The sequence below is a fragment of the Homo sapiens genome, chromosome 20 (genome assembly GCF_000001405.40).
Source record: "Homo sapiens chromosome 20, GRCh38.p14 Primary Assembly".
Taxonomy (NCBI): Eukaryota; Metazoa; Chordata; class Mammalia; order Primates; family Hominidae; genus Homo; species Homo sapiens.
The window spans coordinates 3,768,670-3,782,142 of record NC_000020.11 but is presented as its reverse complement, the minus strand read 5'-3'; the positions used below and the strand labels follow the sequence as shown (position 1 = coordinate 3,782,142).

The window sequence follows — 13,473 nt, the reverse complement described above, 5'->3', positions numbered from 1 at the left end:
GCCCGCCTCGGCCTCCCAAAGTGCTGGGATTACAGGCATGAGCCACTGTGCCCTGCCTGAAATGAATTTCTAATCCATGGAAGAATAGCTCATTGACGGGTGATGAGGGGTTTGGGACAAATAAGTGAGAACCATCGTCATTTCACAAAGGAGGAAATAGAGTTAAGAAGTTAAATGACCTGCCAAGGTACTGGCCTTGAACTCTGGTGTTCTCCCTGGGAGTCTGGGTTACCTATTAAATACCCCACTAGAACACTGCTGGGAAGGGCGAGTGGCAATGGCCCCATGAGCATAGAGTTTTTGGAGAGGGACGAAGCAGGAAGCAGTTGTATCACGCAATCCATTTGGGTGGCAGATTATCAACAACGCACCCCCAAATAAAGCTGACCAACACTGGAGTGCTCCCTTCACTTGGGACTAAAGGGCTGAAGGGCCAAGAAGGGGGATCCCCACCCTAGGGGTGCAGATGCAGGAATTCTGGGGTCCTGGTTGGCTTTGGCTGGTCCCAAAATGGATGAGTGGCTGGTCACTAGGTGGCGTGGGCACAGAAGTGATGCTTTCTTGGGAAGAAGACAAGGGCAGCTAACCGCCTTTTCAAAGCTCGGGCCTGAGAGGAGGTAGCGGGGAGGGGATAAAACTACAACTCCCAGAAGTCTTTGTACCCAGGAGAGTCGGGAATGGTTTCCATGGTTTCAGAAAACAATATGGCCGCTCCCAGCTGGGACGTGAGTCTCTGGATTAGGCAGGCAGAGGCAGTTATGGGCTTCTGCAGTGGCGAGAAAGGAAGCGCCTGAAGGGTCGTGAGGCTGGGGCGGGACCCGGCACCGCTGGGGCGGCCAGGCCGTGAGGACGCCAATGGCGAGCAGCGTGGACGAGGAGGCGCTGCACCAGCTGTACCTGTGGGTAGACAACATCCCTCTGTCCCGGCCCAAGCGAAACCTCTCCCGGGACTTTAGCGATGGAGGTGTGTGCCCTTGTGTGTCTGCATGTTCTGTCCTGTATGTTCGTGTGTAACGGGTCTCTGTGCAAACTCTTTGTGTTTGTGTGCTTGTGGGAGTGGGGAGGAATCTGCCTCCTGGGACTTCAAATTTTAGATGTGTGTGCTTGTTTTCTATTTGCATCTGTGTGTGAACGATGTGTGTCCATATATGTATGTCTACATGTTCTATCCTGTGTGCATGTTGGGGGGGGTGCCTCTAACTCCCTCCAGGGACATTAATGATTAAGATATGTGTCTGCATATGTATTTATGCATTTCTGTATGTGCTCACTCATTGCTATGTGTTCTATGTCTTCTGGGAGTCTGAGCATGTGTGTGTTCATATGTGTTGACATGTTTAGTCTTGTATTTGGGGGGGTCTTGTGTGCATGTGTTTCTTTGTGATTGTGAAGGTGTTTGTGTTTCTAGGAATGTCTCCTGGGATCTCAATGACAGAAATACTTATCTGTCATCTTTTCATGTCAAGTACTTCTATGCATCTCTGTATCTGTATATTTGGGGAGGCTGTGTGCATATGTGGCTTTTTGTGCTTCTGTCTATGTGTGTTCTACATGTGTGCCTATGTGTGTCTAGCATGTGTTTGTTCTATGTGTCTACACATTCTGCCCTATGTATCTATGTGTAGGGGGATCTTATCACATGTGTCTCTGCTTACGTGAGTCTTTTACTCTCCTGGAACTTTGGTGTTGGAGTGTGTGTGTGTGTGTGTGTGTGTGTGTGTGTGTGCATCATGCATCCATGTGAATTCCCTGGGCTCCTGAAAGCTTCTCTTGGAGACTCATTCTCTTTTTTTTTTTTTTTTTTTTTTGAGACAGAGTCTCACTCTTGTCGCCCAGGCTGGAGTGCAGTGGCATGATCTCAGCTCACTGCAACCTCCACCTCCTGAGTTCAAGCGATTCTTCTGCCTCAGCCACCCAAGTAGCTGGGTTTACATGCACCACCACACCTGGCTAACTTTTGTATTTTTAGTAGAGATGGGGTTTCACCATGTTGGCCAGGCTGGTCTCGAACTCCTGGCCTCAGGTGATCTACCCGCCTCAGCCTCCCAAAGTGTTGGGATTACAGGTGTGAGCCCCTGCACTGGCTGACTCATTCTCTACTGGAGGACCAGAGACTCAGTATTCCCATTCCTAAATTAGTGGGGAAGGGATGCAGCTCCTCTGAGGTATGCTGGAGACTTAGTCTCCTCTACCTATCACTAATCTTAATGTCTTTGTCTCCCTCCTTATCCTTCCCCTTTCCGCATCTCCACCCCTCCATTGGGTTCCACCACTCTGCCATGCCTGATTCTCCCACCCCCACCTTCTCTCACCTCCTCCTTCCTTACCCATGCCCCCACTTTCCATGTCTGCTCCCCTCTCCCTCAGTCCTTGTTGCAGAGGTCATCAAGTTTTACTTCCCCAAGATGGTGGAGATGCACAATTATGTCCCCGCCAACTCTCTCCAGCAGAAGCTCAGCAACTGGGGTCATCTGAACAGGTAGCAGAATACCTGTGCAGCCCCATCATCTCCTATGGTCTTGGTTGCCCAGGCTGAGACTGTTTTGGTGGCAGGGTGGGGAGGGTCAACGCAGACAGAATTCGTCCGATTACAAAATCAAGAGACTCTTCTATTAGGAAGGAGGCAAGGAACCTCGGAACACCCACACAAGGAAGCTCAGATGCGATGCGCTTTCACTCCCCCAGGGCTGTACACTCAGAACAGCAACCACCATGCCCCCTTCCCTCTCCCCCATCCCCTCGCTTCATTTCCCCAGGACCCAATCTGCTATCCCAATGTCTACCCCTCAGGAAGGTACTGAAGAGGCTGAACTTTTCAGTACCGGATGACGTGATGCGCAAGATCGCGCAGTGCGCCCCAGGCGTGGTGGAGCTGGTGCTCATCCCGCTGAGGCAGCGCCTGGAGGAGAGGCAGAGGCGCAGGAAGCAGGGCGCCGGCTCCTTACAGGTGCCACCCCGCTCCAGCTTCTCCCACTGCTCTGGGGGCTGGGTGGGGGGCGCTCCCCAGACCACAGAAAGGCCAGCCTGGGTGATAAGTGTGGGGGAGGGGTGCTTGGCTAATAGAGCCTGGCCTGGGGGCCCGTGGAAGGGACATGGGGCTCCTTGGGGATGACTGAGCCCGGGCTTACAGCGGACCCCCGGGGTTCTTTCAGGAGCTGGCTCCCCAGGATGGCAGTGGCTACATGGATGTGGGTAAGGTGGCCTTTTCCATTTCTCCCTCCCGGTTGGAGCTTTCCTTCTGTCCTTCTTCCTGTCACTTGTGAGAGTGGAAGTAGGGAGGGGGAAGCAGGAGAATGAGACTCCAGCACAGTCATTCCTCCACTTGCCTTGTCTCAGGTGTATCCCAGAAGGCCCGAGGTGAAGGTGTCCCGGACCCCCAGGGAGGGGGTCAGCTCAGGTAAAGAAGCTGGGAGTTCCAGACTTCACCAGGCTGGTGATCTCTGCACACAGCTGGGGTTGGGGGGCACGGTACGCTGAGCCTGAGACGGGAGGCAGGAAAGGGGCTAGAGGGGGAGAAGGGAAGGCCTGGTCGAGGGCCCTGGAAGGGTGAGTGTAGGGCCCGAGGTCCAAGCCTCCGCTAAGCTGCTTCCCACCCCAGCTGGGACCGGCCGCCGGCGCCTCGGCCTCCAGCGTATAACCGGGCGTTGCAGGGCGACCCCAGCTTCGTCCTCCAGATCGCTGAAAAGGAGCAGGAGCTGTTGGCCTCTCAAGAGACCGTGCAGGTGAGGGGTCTAGGAAGGCTGCGGGTGGGGGCTCGCGGCCAGCAGAGGCCGGGCAGGAGGGAGCAGACCGCCAGGCTTGACGCCTGCGCGGTGCGGCTTAGGTCCTGCAGATGAAGGTAAGGCGCCTGGAGCACCTGCTCCAGCTCAAGAATGTGCGGATCGAAGACCTCTCCCGGCGGCTCCAGCAGGCGGAGCGTAAGCAGCGGTGAGCGGCGGCCCGGGCCGCGCGGGGACGCCCGGGTACCCGCCAGAGCCCCGACGCCGCGCCGGACCCACCCACCGATGGATAGACCATTGGGAGGGCGGAGCCCGCTGCTCTCACGAGCCTGCTGGGGCCCGAGTGCCCTCCTTCCTTGGGATGGGTGAGCGTGGGAGGAGATGGGACAGGAACTCTAGGAGCGCAGGCCCGGGACTGAGCCGCCTCCTACCACTCCGGAGATCCGGGTCAGGAGAATGGACCGCTTTCCAGAGCCCAGAAGCCACGTGCAGAGACCTAGCCTGTCCCCCAAAGCAGTGTCCAACACCTTGGGCCCGGCCTTGCATCTCCCGGCGCTGGGCCTTGGGGGGCGGTCCCTTGGCTCTGTCCACACCCCCAGAATCAGGTCCCCGCCCAGCTCCGAGGACGGCGGCGTCTCCATCCAGGCTAGTTCCCCATGCCCTCAGCCATGGGGGAATCTGTCCCGGGCCGCTGAGGGGCTCCCCTGCCCCTCCTGGGAGCTTACCTGGGACCCACCTCGGCGACGGAGACCGCAGCAGCTGGAGAGGAAGGGGTGAGGCGTGGGATCGCCAGGAGTAGGGAGGACATCGACGATGTGCCCGTAGCAGTCGCCCCTCCCTCCTCGCGCACGGGGTACTGAGGCGGAAGGTTTGAAGGTTACGGCTCAGGGCTGCCCCATTAAAGTCAGTGTTGTGTTCTATTTCCTGTGCCTGCCTTCTCTTTTTGCATCTGAGGGGAGCCAGTTTCTTCTTCACTTGTCCTCCATCTCCCCACCCCCGCCTTGAGTGAAAGAGCTTTCTGGACCCAGAGTGGATCTCATCTTGTGGGTGGCTGGGTCCTGTGCGGCCACAGCTTGGTAGGTTGATGATATCACCAGGGGTCAGGTTTTGCACAGGATGACAGCCTAACTTCTAACCCTGGCCTTAGATTGACCCCCAAACCCACCCTCACAGTGTTCTCCAACCTTGTCCAAACCCAACCCCAAACCAGACTTCAAATTGTTCCCAAATGTGGCCACACACTCACCCTCAACCCTACGTAAGGACTGACCCCTAACTCGGCCCTCTGTACGACTCCAACCCTGCCCACAGACAATCCCAACTTCCATGGATTGAGGCCAGGCTTTACTCCCAACCCTGGCCAACACACTACAGCCATGGCATGACCCTAACTTTAATGGTTTTCTGACTACCAGTAATGTGGAACATTTGTAAATCCTGAGATCCAGCTGGGCATGGTGGCTCAGGCCTGTAATCCCACCACTTTGGGAGGCCAAGGCAGGTGGGTCACTTGAGGCCAGGAGTTCAAGACCAGCCTGGCCAATGGTGAAAACCCATCTCTATTAAAAATACGAACAATTAGCCAGGCGTGGTGGCGGGCACCTGTAGTCCCAGCTACTTGGGAAGCTGAGGCAGGAGAATTGCTTGAAGCTGGGGGGCAGAGGTTGCAGTGAGCCAAGATCGCACCACTGCACTCCAGCCTAGGCAACAGAAGGACACTCTGTCTCAAAACAAAACAAACATCCTGAGATCTAACAATTCCATTCCTAGGCATATACCCAGCACATACCCAAGGGAAACCTAGGCTCTTGTGTTCTGTGTTCTGGGAGACATGTTACAACAACGTTCATAGCAACACTCTTTTTGTTTGGTTTTGTTTTTTTTAAAATGGAGTCTTGCTCTGTCGTCCAGGCTGGAGTGCAATTGCACGATCTCGGCTCACTGCAACCTCCACCTCCTGAGTTCAAGCGATTCTCCTGCCTGAGCCTCTCAAGTATGTGAGATTACAGGTGCATGCCACCACATCTGGCTAATTTTTTATATTTTTGGTAGAGACAGGTTTCACCATGTTGGCTAGGCTGGCCTCGAACTCCTGACCTCAAGTGATCCACCTGCCTTGGCCTCCAAAAGTGCTGGGATTACAGGCGTGAGCCACCATGCCTGGCCCACAGAAACACTCTTTGTAATAGCAAAAGAAATGAAAAGAACCTGTATACATTATCTCTTACTGTGTAGCAAATTATCACCAATGTAGCAGCTTAGAACAACAAATACTTATTATTATATCTCACATTTTCTGTGGGTCAAGAGTCCAGGCCAGGCTTGGCTGGGTCCTCCACTTCAATGTTTCCTACAAGGCTGCAAGCAAAGGGCCAATAGAACTGCAGTCTCATCTGAAGGCACAACTGAGGAAGGATCCAGGCTTCCAGGCTTACTTGGTTGCTGACTGAATTTACTTCCTAGTGGGCTGTCAAACTGAAAGCTTCAGTGTTTTACTCATTGTTGGCCAATAGCCACTCTCATTTCCTTGACACATAGCCATCTCCAGTATGGTAGCTTACTTCATCAAAGACAGGAAAGGAGAGAGTTGATAGAGTCTATTACCAACAAGGGAGTTACAGGCCTGGTGCTGTGGCAGAGGTGCACTTCTCAGAGACAGACTTAGCTATATCTGGATACCAGGAGCAGAAGCCTCAAAGAGGAAGAACCATCAGGACCTGGCCCAGCCTTTGCCATGTAGGAGGCCAATAGGTGAGGTCGTGATACCAGCCATCAAACCTGTCTTCTGGGCCCACAGTGCTACTGCTAAGGCAGAACTGTTAGCCTGCCCTGTCTCCTGGTCCTCGGGCCACTCCATCAGCCATTCCTACTATCTTTACATATAGCAGCCTACAGGTGAGGTTACATGGATAAAAGTTTCAGGGAATAGAACTCCGGGGGCCTATTGCAGACTATGGAGAGATCGTGGTGCTATAGCAAGGGTCAGTGTGTGTGAAGGGCTAACGGTTAGTTTGGGGCAAGTGGAGGGTCAGGTGGAGCCAGTGTTAAACTAAGACCAGGTGGAGTGCATGGATGGGGCTCAGAACAAGGTCAGGAGTAGTTGGCAATTTTTATTTCATTTATTATTGAATATTTTAAATATTACTGAATTGGACTAAATATAATCCTTGGTTCATGACACTCTCTCCCCATTTGTCCATAATCAACTCACTTATGAACACCTATAAATCCACCACCTGCCCCAAGAATGGAATTATTACAAATAACTTTCACCGGCCATGTGCTTCTTGCATCTCTCCCCCTTGCTTCCACTCAGAGATAACCACCATCCTAGATTTCATCCTTTCATTGCTTTTTCCTCCTTGTAGTAGACAGCTCCTAACGTGGCTCCCAGTAATCCCTGCCTCCTGGACGTCACCCCCATGTGTACCCTTTCCTTGAATGTAGGCTGGACTTAGTGACTTGCTTCTGATAAGTAGAATACAGCAAATGTGATAGGATGTCAACTTTTGTGATTACATTAGATAAGATTATAACTCCCTTATTTTTAATTTAATTTTTAAAAAATTTTTCTTTCTTTCTTTTTTTTTGTTTTGAGACAGAGTATTGCTCTGTCACCCAGGCTGGAGTGCAGTGGTATGATCTCGGCTCACTGCACTCTCCACTTCCCTGGTTCAAGTGATTCCTCTGTCTCAGCCTCCCAAGTAGCTGGGATTACAGGCACACGCCACCACACCCGGCTACTTTTTGTATTTTTAGTAGAGACGGGGTTCCACCATATTGGTCAGGCTGGTCTCAAACTCCTGACCTCAGGTGATCCACCAGCCTCGGCCTCCTAAAGTGCTGGGATTACAGCCGTGAGCCACCGCACCCAGCCCTAACTCCCTTCTTTTTTAGAGACAGGGTTTTACTCTGTCGCCCAGGCTGGAGTGCAGTGGCACAATCTTGGCTCACTGCAACCCCAGCCTCCCAAGTTCAAGCAATCTTTACACCTCAGCCTCTAGAATAGGTGGGAGGACAGGTGCATACCACCATATCCAGCTAATTTTTTTTTTTTATGAGATGTCTCACTCTGTCATCCAGGCTGGAGTGCAGCGGCATGATCTCGGCTCACTGCAACCTCTGCCTCCCAGGTTCAAGCTATTCTCCTGCCTCAGCCTCCTGAGTTGCTGGAATTACAGGCACCTGCCACTACGCCCAACTAATTTTTGTATCTTCAGTAGAGATGGTGTTTCACCATGTTGGCCTAGTTGGTCTCGAACTGCTAACCTCAGGTGATCCACCCACCTCGGCCTCCCAAAGTGCTGGGATTACAGGTGTGAGCCACTGCTCCTGGGCTTTTTTTTTTTTTTTTTTTTTTTTTTTTTTTGTAGAGACAGGATTTCGCTTTGTTACCCAGGCTGGTCTCCAACTCCTAGGTTCAAGTGAGCCTCTTGCCTCAGCCTCCCAAAATGCTGGGATTACATGTGTGAGCCACTGTGCCTGGCCCCTCTCCTCTCTCTAACCGACACTAAATCTGCTATCTTCTGGTTCATTCATTCGTTCTTTCCTCTATTTATTGAGTACCTACTATGTACTAAATACCAGGAATACAAAAGTGAGTATAAAACATGATTTGTTCCCTCCAGTGTTCACAACCCTACAGGAGAGGAAGGCATGCAAGGGTATTTAAACTTTGTTACTTAATGTTTTGAATAGATAAAACATATATATGATTTAAAAAAAACACATAAAAAGTGAAAAGTCTTCTTATTCCCAGCACATCTCTAATAGGGAACCTCTATCTTTAGTTTTTATGTATCCTTCCGGAATGACTTTATGTGACTATAAACAAACATGCACATTTGTCTTACTCTTATTTTTGAGAGAAGAGTCTTGTTTTGTCACCCTGGCTGGAGTGTAGTGGCACAATTTCAGTTAACTGCACCCTCCACCTCCTGGGTTCAAGTGATTCTCGTGCCTCGGCCTCCTGAGTAGCTGGGACTACAGGCTCATGCCACCATGCCCAGCTAATTTTTATGTATTTAGTAGAGGCAGGTTTCACCATGTTGACCCGAACACCTGAGCTCGAGTGAGCCGCCCGCCTCGGCCTCCCAAAGTGCTGGGAAAACAGGGGTAAACCACCGCACCCGGCTAAGGTTAACATTTAAATCAGCAGATGAGGCCGGGCACGGTGGCTCACGCCTGTAATCCCAGCACTTTGGGAGGCCGAGGCGGGCTAATCACCTGAGGTCAGGCATTCAAGACCAGCCTGGTCAACATGGCGAAACCCCGTCTCTACTAAAAATACAAAAATTAGCCGGGCGTGGTGGTGATTGCCTGTAACCCCAGCTACTCAGGAAGCTGAGGCAGGAGAATCGCTTGAACCCGGGAGGTGGAGGTTGCAGGGAACCAAGATCATGCCACGGCACTCCAGCCTGGGCAACAGAGTGAGAATCCATTTCAAAAACAAAAGGAAAAAAGAAAGAAATCAGCAGATGAGTGAAACAGATTTCCCTCTCTAATGTGAGTGGGCCACATCCAGTCAGTTGAGACCTAAATAGAAGAAAAAGGCTGGCCCTCCCCAAATAAGAGAGAATTTTTATTGCCTGGTGGTCTTTGAACTGGAACATCAGCTTTTTTCTCGCCTTTGGGATCAAACTGAAACATTGATTCTTCCTTGGTCTCAAACCTGCTGCCCTTTGGACTGGAGATACATCATTGACTTTCCTGGCTCTCAGGCATTGGGACTCAGACTGGAACTAAACCATTGGCTCTCCTGGGTCTCCAACTTGCCAACCCAACCTGCAGCTCTTGGGACTGGTCAGACTCCATAATTGTGTGAGTCAATTCCTTATAATATGTCAGTCTTTCCTATCTGCCCTCTTTCCTAGTTCTGTTTCTCTGGAGAATCCTAGCTAATACAAAATCTTTCCTTAGCAGGCTGGGCACGGTAGCTCATGCCTGTAATCCTAGCATTTTGGGAGGCTGAGGTGGGTGGATCGCTTGAGGCCAGGAGTTCGAGACCAGCTTGTATAACATGGCAAAACCCCATCTCTACTAAAAATACAAAAATTATCCCGGCATGGTGGCTCACGCCTGTAATCCTGGCTACTTGGGAGGACATTGAAAACTTCCTCTTTTTTTTTTTTCTTTTTAAAGCCATATAACATTATATTGTCTGTACCAAATTTATTTAAGAAGTCTTCTATTTATGGACATTTGAGTTATTTCCAATCTTTTGCTATCACAAGAATGCAACAATAAATAACCTCATACACTCATGATTTAGTATCATGGGGAAGTATATCTAAATGATAAATTCCAGAACTGGGGTTCCTAGATCAAAGAATATATGCATCTGTAATCTTTGTTGTGTTTTTTTTCCTCTCTCTTTTTTCTTTTTTGAGTCAGAGTCTCGCGCTGTGGCCCAGGCTGGAGTGCAATGACACTATCTTGCCTCACTGCATCCTCTGCCTCCCGGGTTCAAGCGATTCTCCTGCCTCAACCTCCTGGGTAGCTGGCATTACAGGCACCTGCCACCACGCCCAGCTAATTTTTTGTATTTTTAGTAGAGATGGGGTTTCACCATGTTGGCTGTGTGTGTGTGTGTGTGTGTGTGTGTGTTTTCTCTTTTTTTGTGTGTGCATTTGTAATCTTGATAGCTGTTGTGAAATTGTCCTCTACAAGGGCATGGCTCAGAGGAGAGGCTGAAGACTGGTAGTCCGTTGCCCTGCTTTGTTTGGTTAGCATGGTGTAGCGTTTTTTACAAAATTGCAAATTTTTATGTTGATGAGGATGTGAAGCAACAGAAACTCTTATACTCTGCTAATGGGAGTGTAAGTAAGTACAGTCATTTTGGAAAACAATTTGCCAGTTTCTTTTAAAATTAAACACATGCCATGGCTGGGCATGGTGGCTCAAGCTTGTAATCCCAGCACTTTGGGAGTCTGAGGTGGGTCGGTCACCTGAGGTCAGGAGTTCGAGACCAGCCTGGCCAACATGGTGAAACCCCGTCTCTATTAAAAATACAAAAAAATTGGCCAGGCACGGTGGCTCATGCCTGTAATCCCAGCACTTTGGGAGGCTGAGGCAGGCAGTTTACCTGAGGTTGGGAGTTCGAGACTAGCGTGACCAACATGGAGAAACCCGTCTCTACTAAAAATACAAAATTAGCCGGCGTGGTGGCACATGCCTGTAATCTCAAAAAAAAAAAAAAAATACAAAAATTAGCTGGGTGTGGTGGCATGTGCCTGTAGTCCTGGCTACTGGGGAGGCTGAGGTGGGAGGAGTGCTTGAGCCCAGGAGGCAGAGGTTGTAGAGAGCTGAGATCGCACCACTGCATTCCAGCCTGGGTGACAGAGTAAGACTCTGTCTCAAAAAAAAAAAAAAAGTGGAATTACTCATTTCATTTATCATTTTTATTAGGTACTGCCAAGCAGTTTTCCAATGAGGTTATAGTTGTTTAATTTTTAATTAAAAAGAATAGAGGGCTGGGCACAGTGGCTTGTGCCTCTGGTCTGGTCCCAGCACATTAGGAGCCCAAGGTCGGGGGATCGCTTGAGGCCAAGAGTTTGAGACCAGCCTGGGCAACATAGTGAGACCCTGTCTCTGAAAAATAAAAAAAAAAACAAAAAACCGTGTGTTTGGAGTTGTAGCAAGTGTTGTGTTTTTTTGTTTTTTTTTAAAAGTCACCAGGTTCTCATGGTGAGTGGATTTTTTTTTTTTTTTTTTTGGAGATGGAGTCTGGCTCAGTCGCCCAAGCTGGAGTGCAGTGGCGCAATCTCGGCTCACTGCAAGCTCCGCCTCCCGGGTTCACGCCATTCTCCTGCCTCAGCCTCCCGAGTAGCTGGGACTACAGGCATCAGCCACCATGCCCGGCTAATTTTTTGTATTTTTAGTAGAGACGGGGTTTCACCGTGTTAGCCAGGATGGTCTTGATCTCCTGACCTCATGATCCGCCCATCTCAGCCTCCCAAAGTGCTGGGATTACAGGCGTGAGCCACCACGCCCGGCCGTGAGTGGATGTTTTATACGTGCTCCATCTGTTCTCCTAACCTGGAGTTGTTCCTGATTCTTCTTGTCCTGCCTCTGTCTCCAGGGGGCCTGGTAGGGGCCTGTGGTTTCCCTTGCAGAGCCATCTATCTTTGGTAAGGCCCTCCGCACAGGAAGCCCCAGAGCCTGGGCACTACTCGTGTGGTAACACAGACACATTGGGCAGTGATGGGGCAGCCAGGTAACTCCTGCCCTGACTTCCTCCTGACACAAAGAGTCTAATTTTCTCCTGGAGGCTTTCCAGAACCATCTTTGGCCTTCCCTGAGAGCATGTAGTATCCCTAGGCATGGGCAGCTCTGTATTTCAGCTCCTCCCAGTGGGCCAGACTGCCCGATGCCTGGGAGTGTGAGGAACATTTGGCAAGGACAGGAGACCACAGTTCTTTGTGTGTGGTGTCCCTCCTACACTAAACTGTGAGTGCCTTCCACTCCACAGAGCCTAGCACAATAACTTACTCATCAGATACATTCAGTAAATGTTTGCTGAAAGGAGTTGACAATTCGGAAATAACCCCGGGCTGTGCAGTTAGCAGCCAGTTTGTGTTTGAGAGAGCCCACACCAGAGATGGTTTTGAGAAGTTGGCTAGAAAGACTTTTGAAAAAGGCAGGCTTGGGCCAGGCGCGGTGGCTCATGCCTGTAATCCCAGCACTTTGGGAGGCTGAGGCAGGCAGATCACTTGAGGCTAGGAGTTTGAGACCCACCTGACCAACATGGTGAAACCCTGTCTCCACTAAAAATACAAAAATTAGCCCTGGGTGTGGTGGCGCGCACCTAGAATCCCAGCTACTTGGGAGGCTGAGGCAGGAGAATGGCTTGAACCCGGCGGGGGAGGGGGTGGAGGCTGTAGTCAGCCGAGATGGCACCACTGAACTCAAGCCTGGGCGACAGAGTGAGACTCTGTCTCAAAAATAAATAAATAAATAAATAGGCAAAACTTATCTTGGTTGAAGAGGGCTTGAATTTTGGCTATGAGAAGAGAGCGGGGAGGGCCTTCCAGGTTGGAAGGTGGGATAATGAGGGGGAGGGGATCACAAATGTCTGCACAGACCCAGAAGGTAACTAACCGTGAGAAACAGGGATTAGCGGGGACTATGGTAAATTTATGTGCTCTTAAAGGGGCTTGTAATGCCAGGCTGGAAAGTGAGCCCATGTTGTCAGATCTTCTGATATTTCAAAAGCCACGAAACCAGATTCCTGATTCCAGAAAGAGGCGGAGGAGGCAGGAGGGGGAAGGACTTCTTTTAAAAAGCCCCATGTGAGCTAAACAAAATACACCTACGGGCCACTTTGGGCCCACCGTCTGCCAACTTTAGACTTTCAAGACAAGGTCTAAAGGTAGTGTGGTGGGAGTGGGTAGAGTGGGCAGGAGTGGATGGGCTGAGATCAGAATGTGAAAAGCTCTCAATGTAAGCGCTGTCTCTCAAACGCGAGGGCACATGAGTCACCCAAAGTGCTGCTGAAGTTTGTGAAGCGCTACTGGAGGCAGTCCCAGAGGGCTTTGGAGCAGGAGAGGGACGCGATGAAAACAAGAGCTCAGAAAGATTAATTTGCCAACAGTGTGCAGACTGGAGATCAGCAGACAGGTTATGGGCCACAGGGTGGCAGACTTGAGGGCTCCTTTAAGGCAGCGACCCCGGCCCTGCTGAAGGGAGGCTGGCCTTCGGCCGCCCAGGCCGTCTCTCTAGTTCCGTTGGAAGCAAGGCGCTGCGTGCTCCGGAC

The 13,473-nt window shown here is 50.9% G+C and overlaps 1 protein-coding gene across 1 annotated transcript, besides 6 other annotated features; it reads left to right on the top strand.

Annotated features, from left to right (window-relative positions):
- Positions 396–545: an enhancer, noted in NCBI's record as "active region_17483". NCBI's record gives its function as "activates an Ori minimal core promoter by ATAC-STARR-seq in GM12878 lymphoblastoid cells {active_cell/tissue: GM12878}" and the evidence as "EXISTENCE:reporter gene assay evidence [ECO:0000049][PMID:35858748]".
- Positions 396–801: a biological region, named in NCBI's record as "Sharpr-MPRA regulatory region 2213".
- Positions 507–801: an enhancer, noted in NCBI's record as "tiled region #2213; HepG2 Activating DNase matched - State 4:PromP, and K562 Activating DNase unmatched - State 4:PromP". NCBI's record gives its function as "activates a minimal TATA promoter and a strong SV40 promoter by Sharpr-MPRA in HepG2 and K562 cells {active_cell/tissue: HepG2 | K562}" and the evidence as "EXISTENCE:reporter gene assay evidence [ECO:0000049][PMID:27701403]".
- On the top strand, positions 695–4,639 carry SPEF1 (sperm flagellar 1). Its single transcript, NM_015417.5, has 7 exons — positions 695–964; positions 2,368–2,479; positions 2,791–2,947; positions 3,153–3,192; positions 3,337–3,397; positions 3,599–3,722; positions 3,824–4,639. The coding sequence occupies exons 1-7, from the start codon at positions 856–858 to the stop codon at positions 3,929–3,931; spliced, it is 711 nt and encodes a 236-aa protein (NP_056232.2). The 5' UTR covers positions 695–855; the 3' UTR covers positions 3,932–4,639.
- Positions 3,060–3,677: an enhancer, noted in NCBI's record as "H3K4me1 hESC enhancer chr20:3759113-3759730 (GRCh37/hg19 assembly coordinates)". NCBI's record gives its function as "activates a minimal SCP1, AML or CMV promoter by ChIP-STARR-seq in primed H9 embryonic stem cells {active_cell/tissue: H9 hESC(primed)}" and the evidence as "EXISTENCE:reporter gene assay evidence [ECO:0000049][PMID:30033119]".
- Positions 3,813–4,062: a silencer, noted in NCBI's record as "silent region_12627". NCBI's record gives its function as "represses an Ori minimal core promoter by ATAC-STARR-seq in GM12878 lymphoblastoid cells {active_cell/tissue: GM12878}" and the evidence as "EXISTENCE:reporter gene assay evidence [ECO:0000049][PMID:35858748]".
- Positions 13,056–13,105: an enhancer, noted in NCBI's record as "active region_17482". NCBI's record gives its function as "activates an Ori minimal core promoter by ATAC-STARR-seq in GM12878 lymphoblastoid cells {active_cell/tissue: GM12878}" and the evidence as "EXISTENCE:reporter gene assay evidence [ECO:0000049][PMID:35858748]".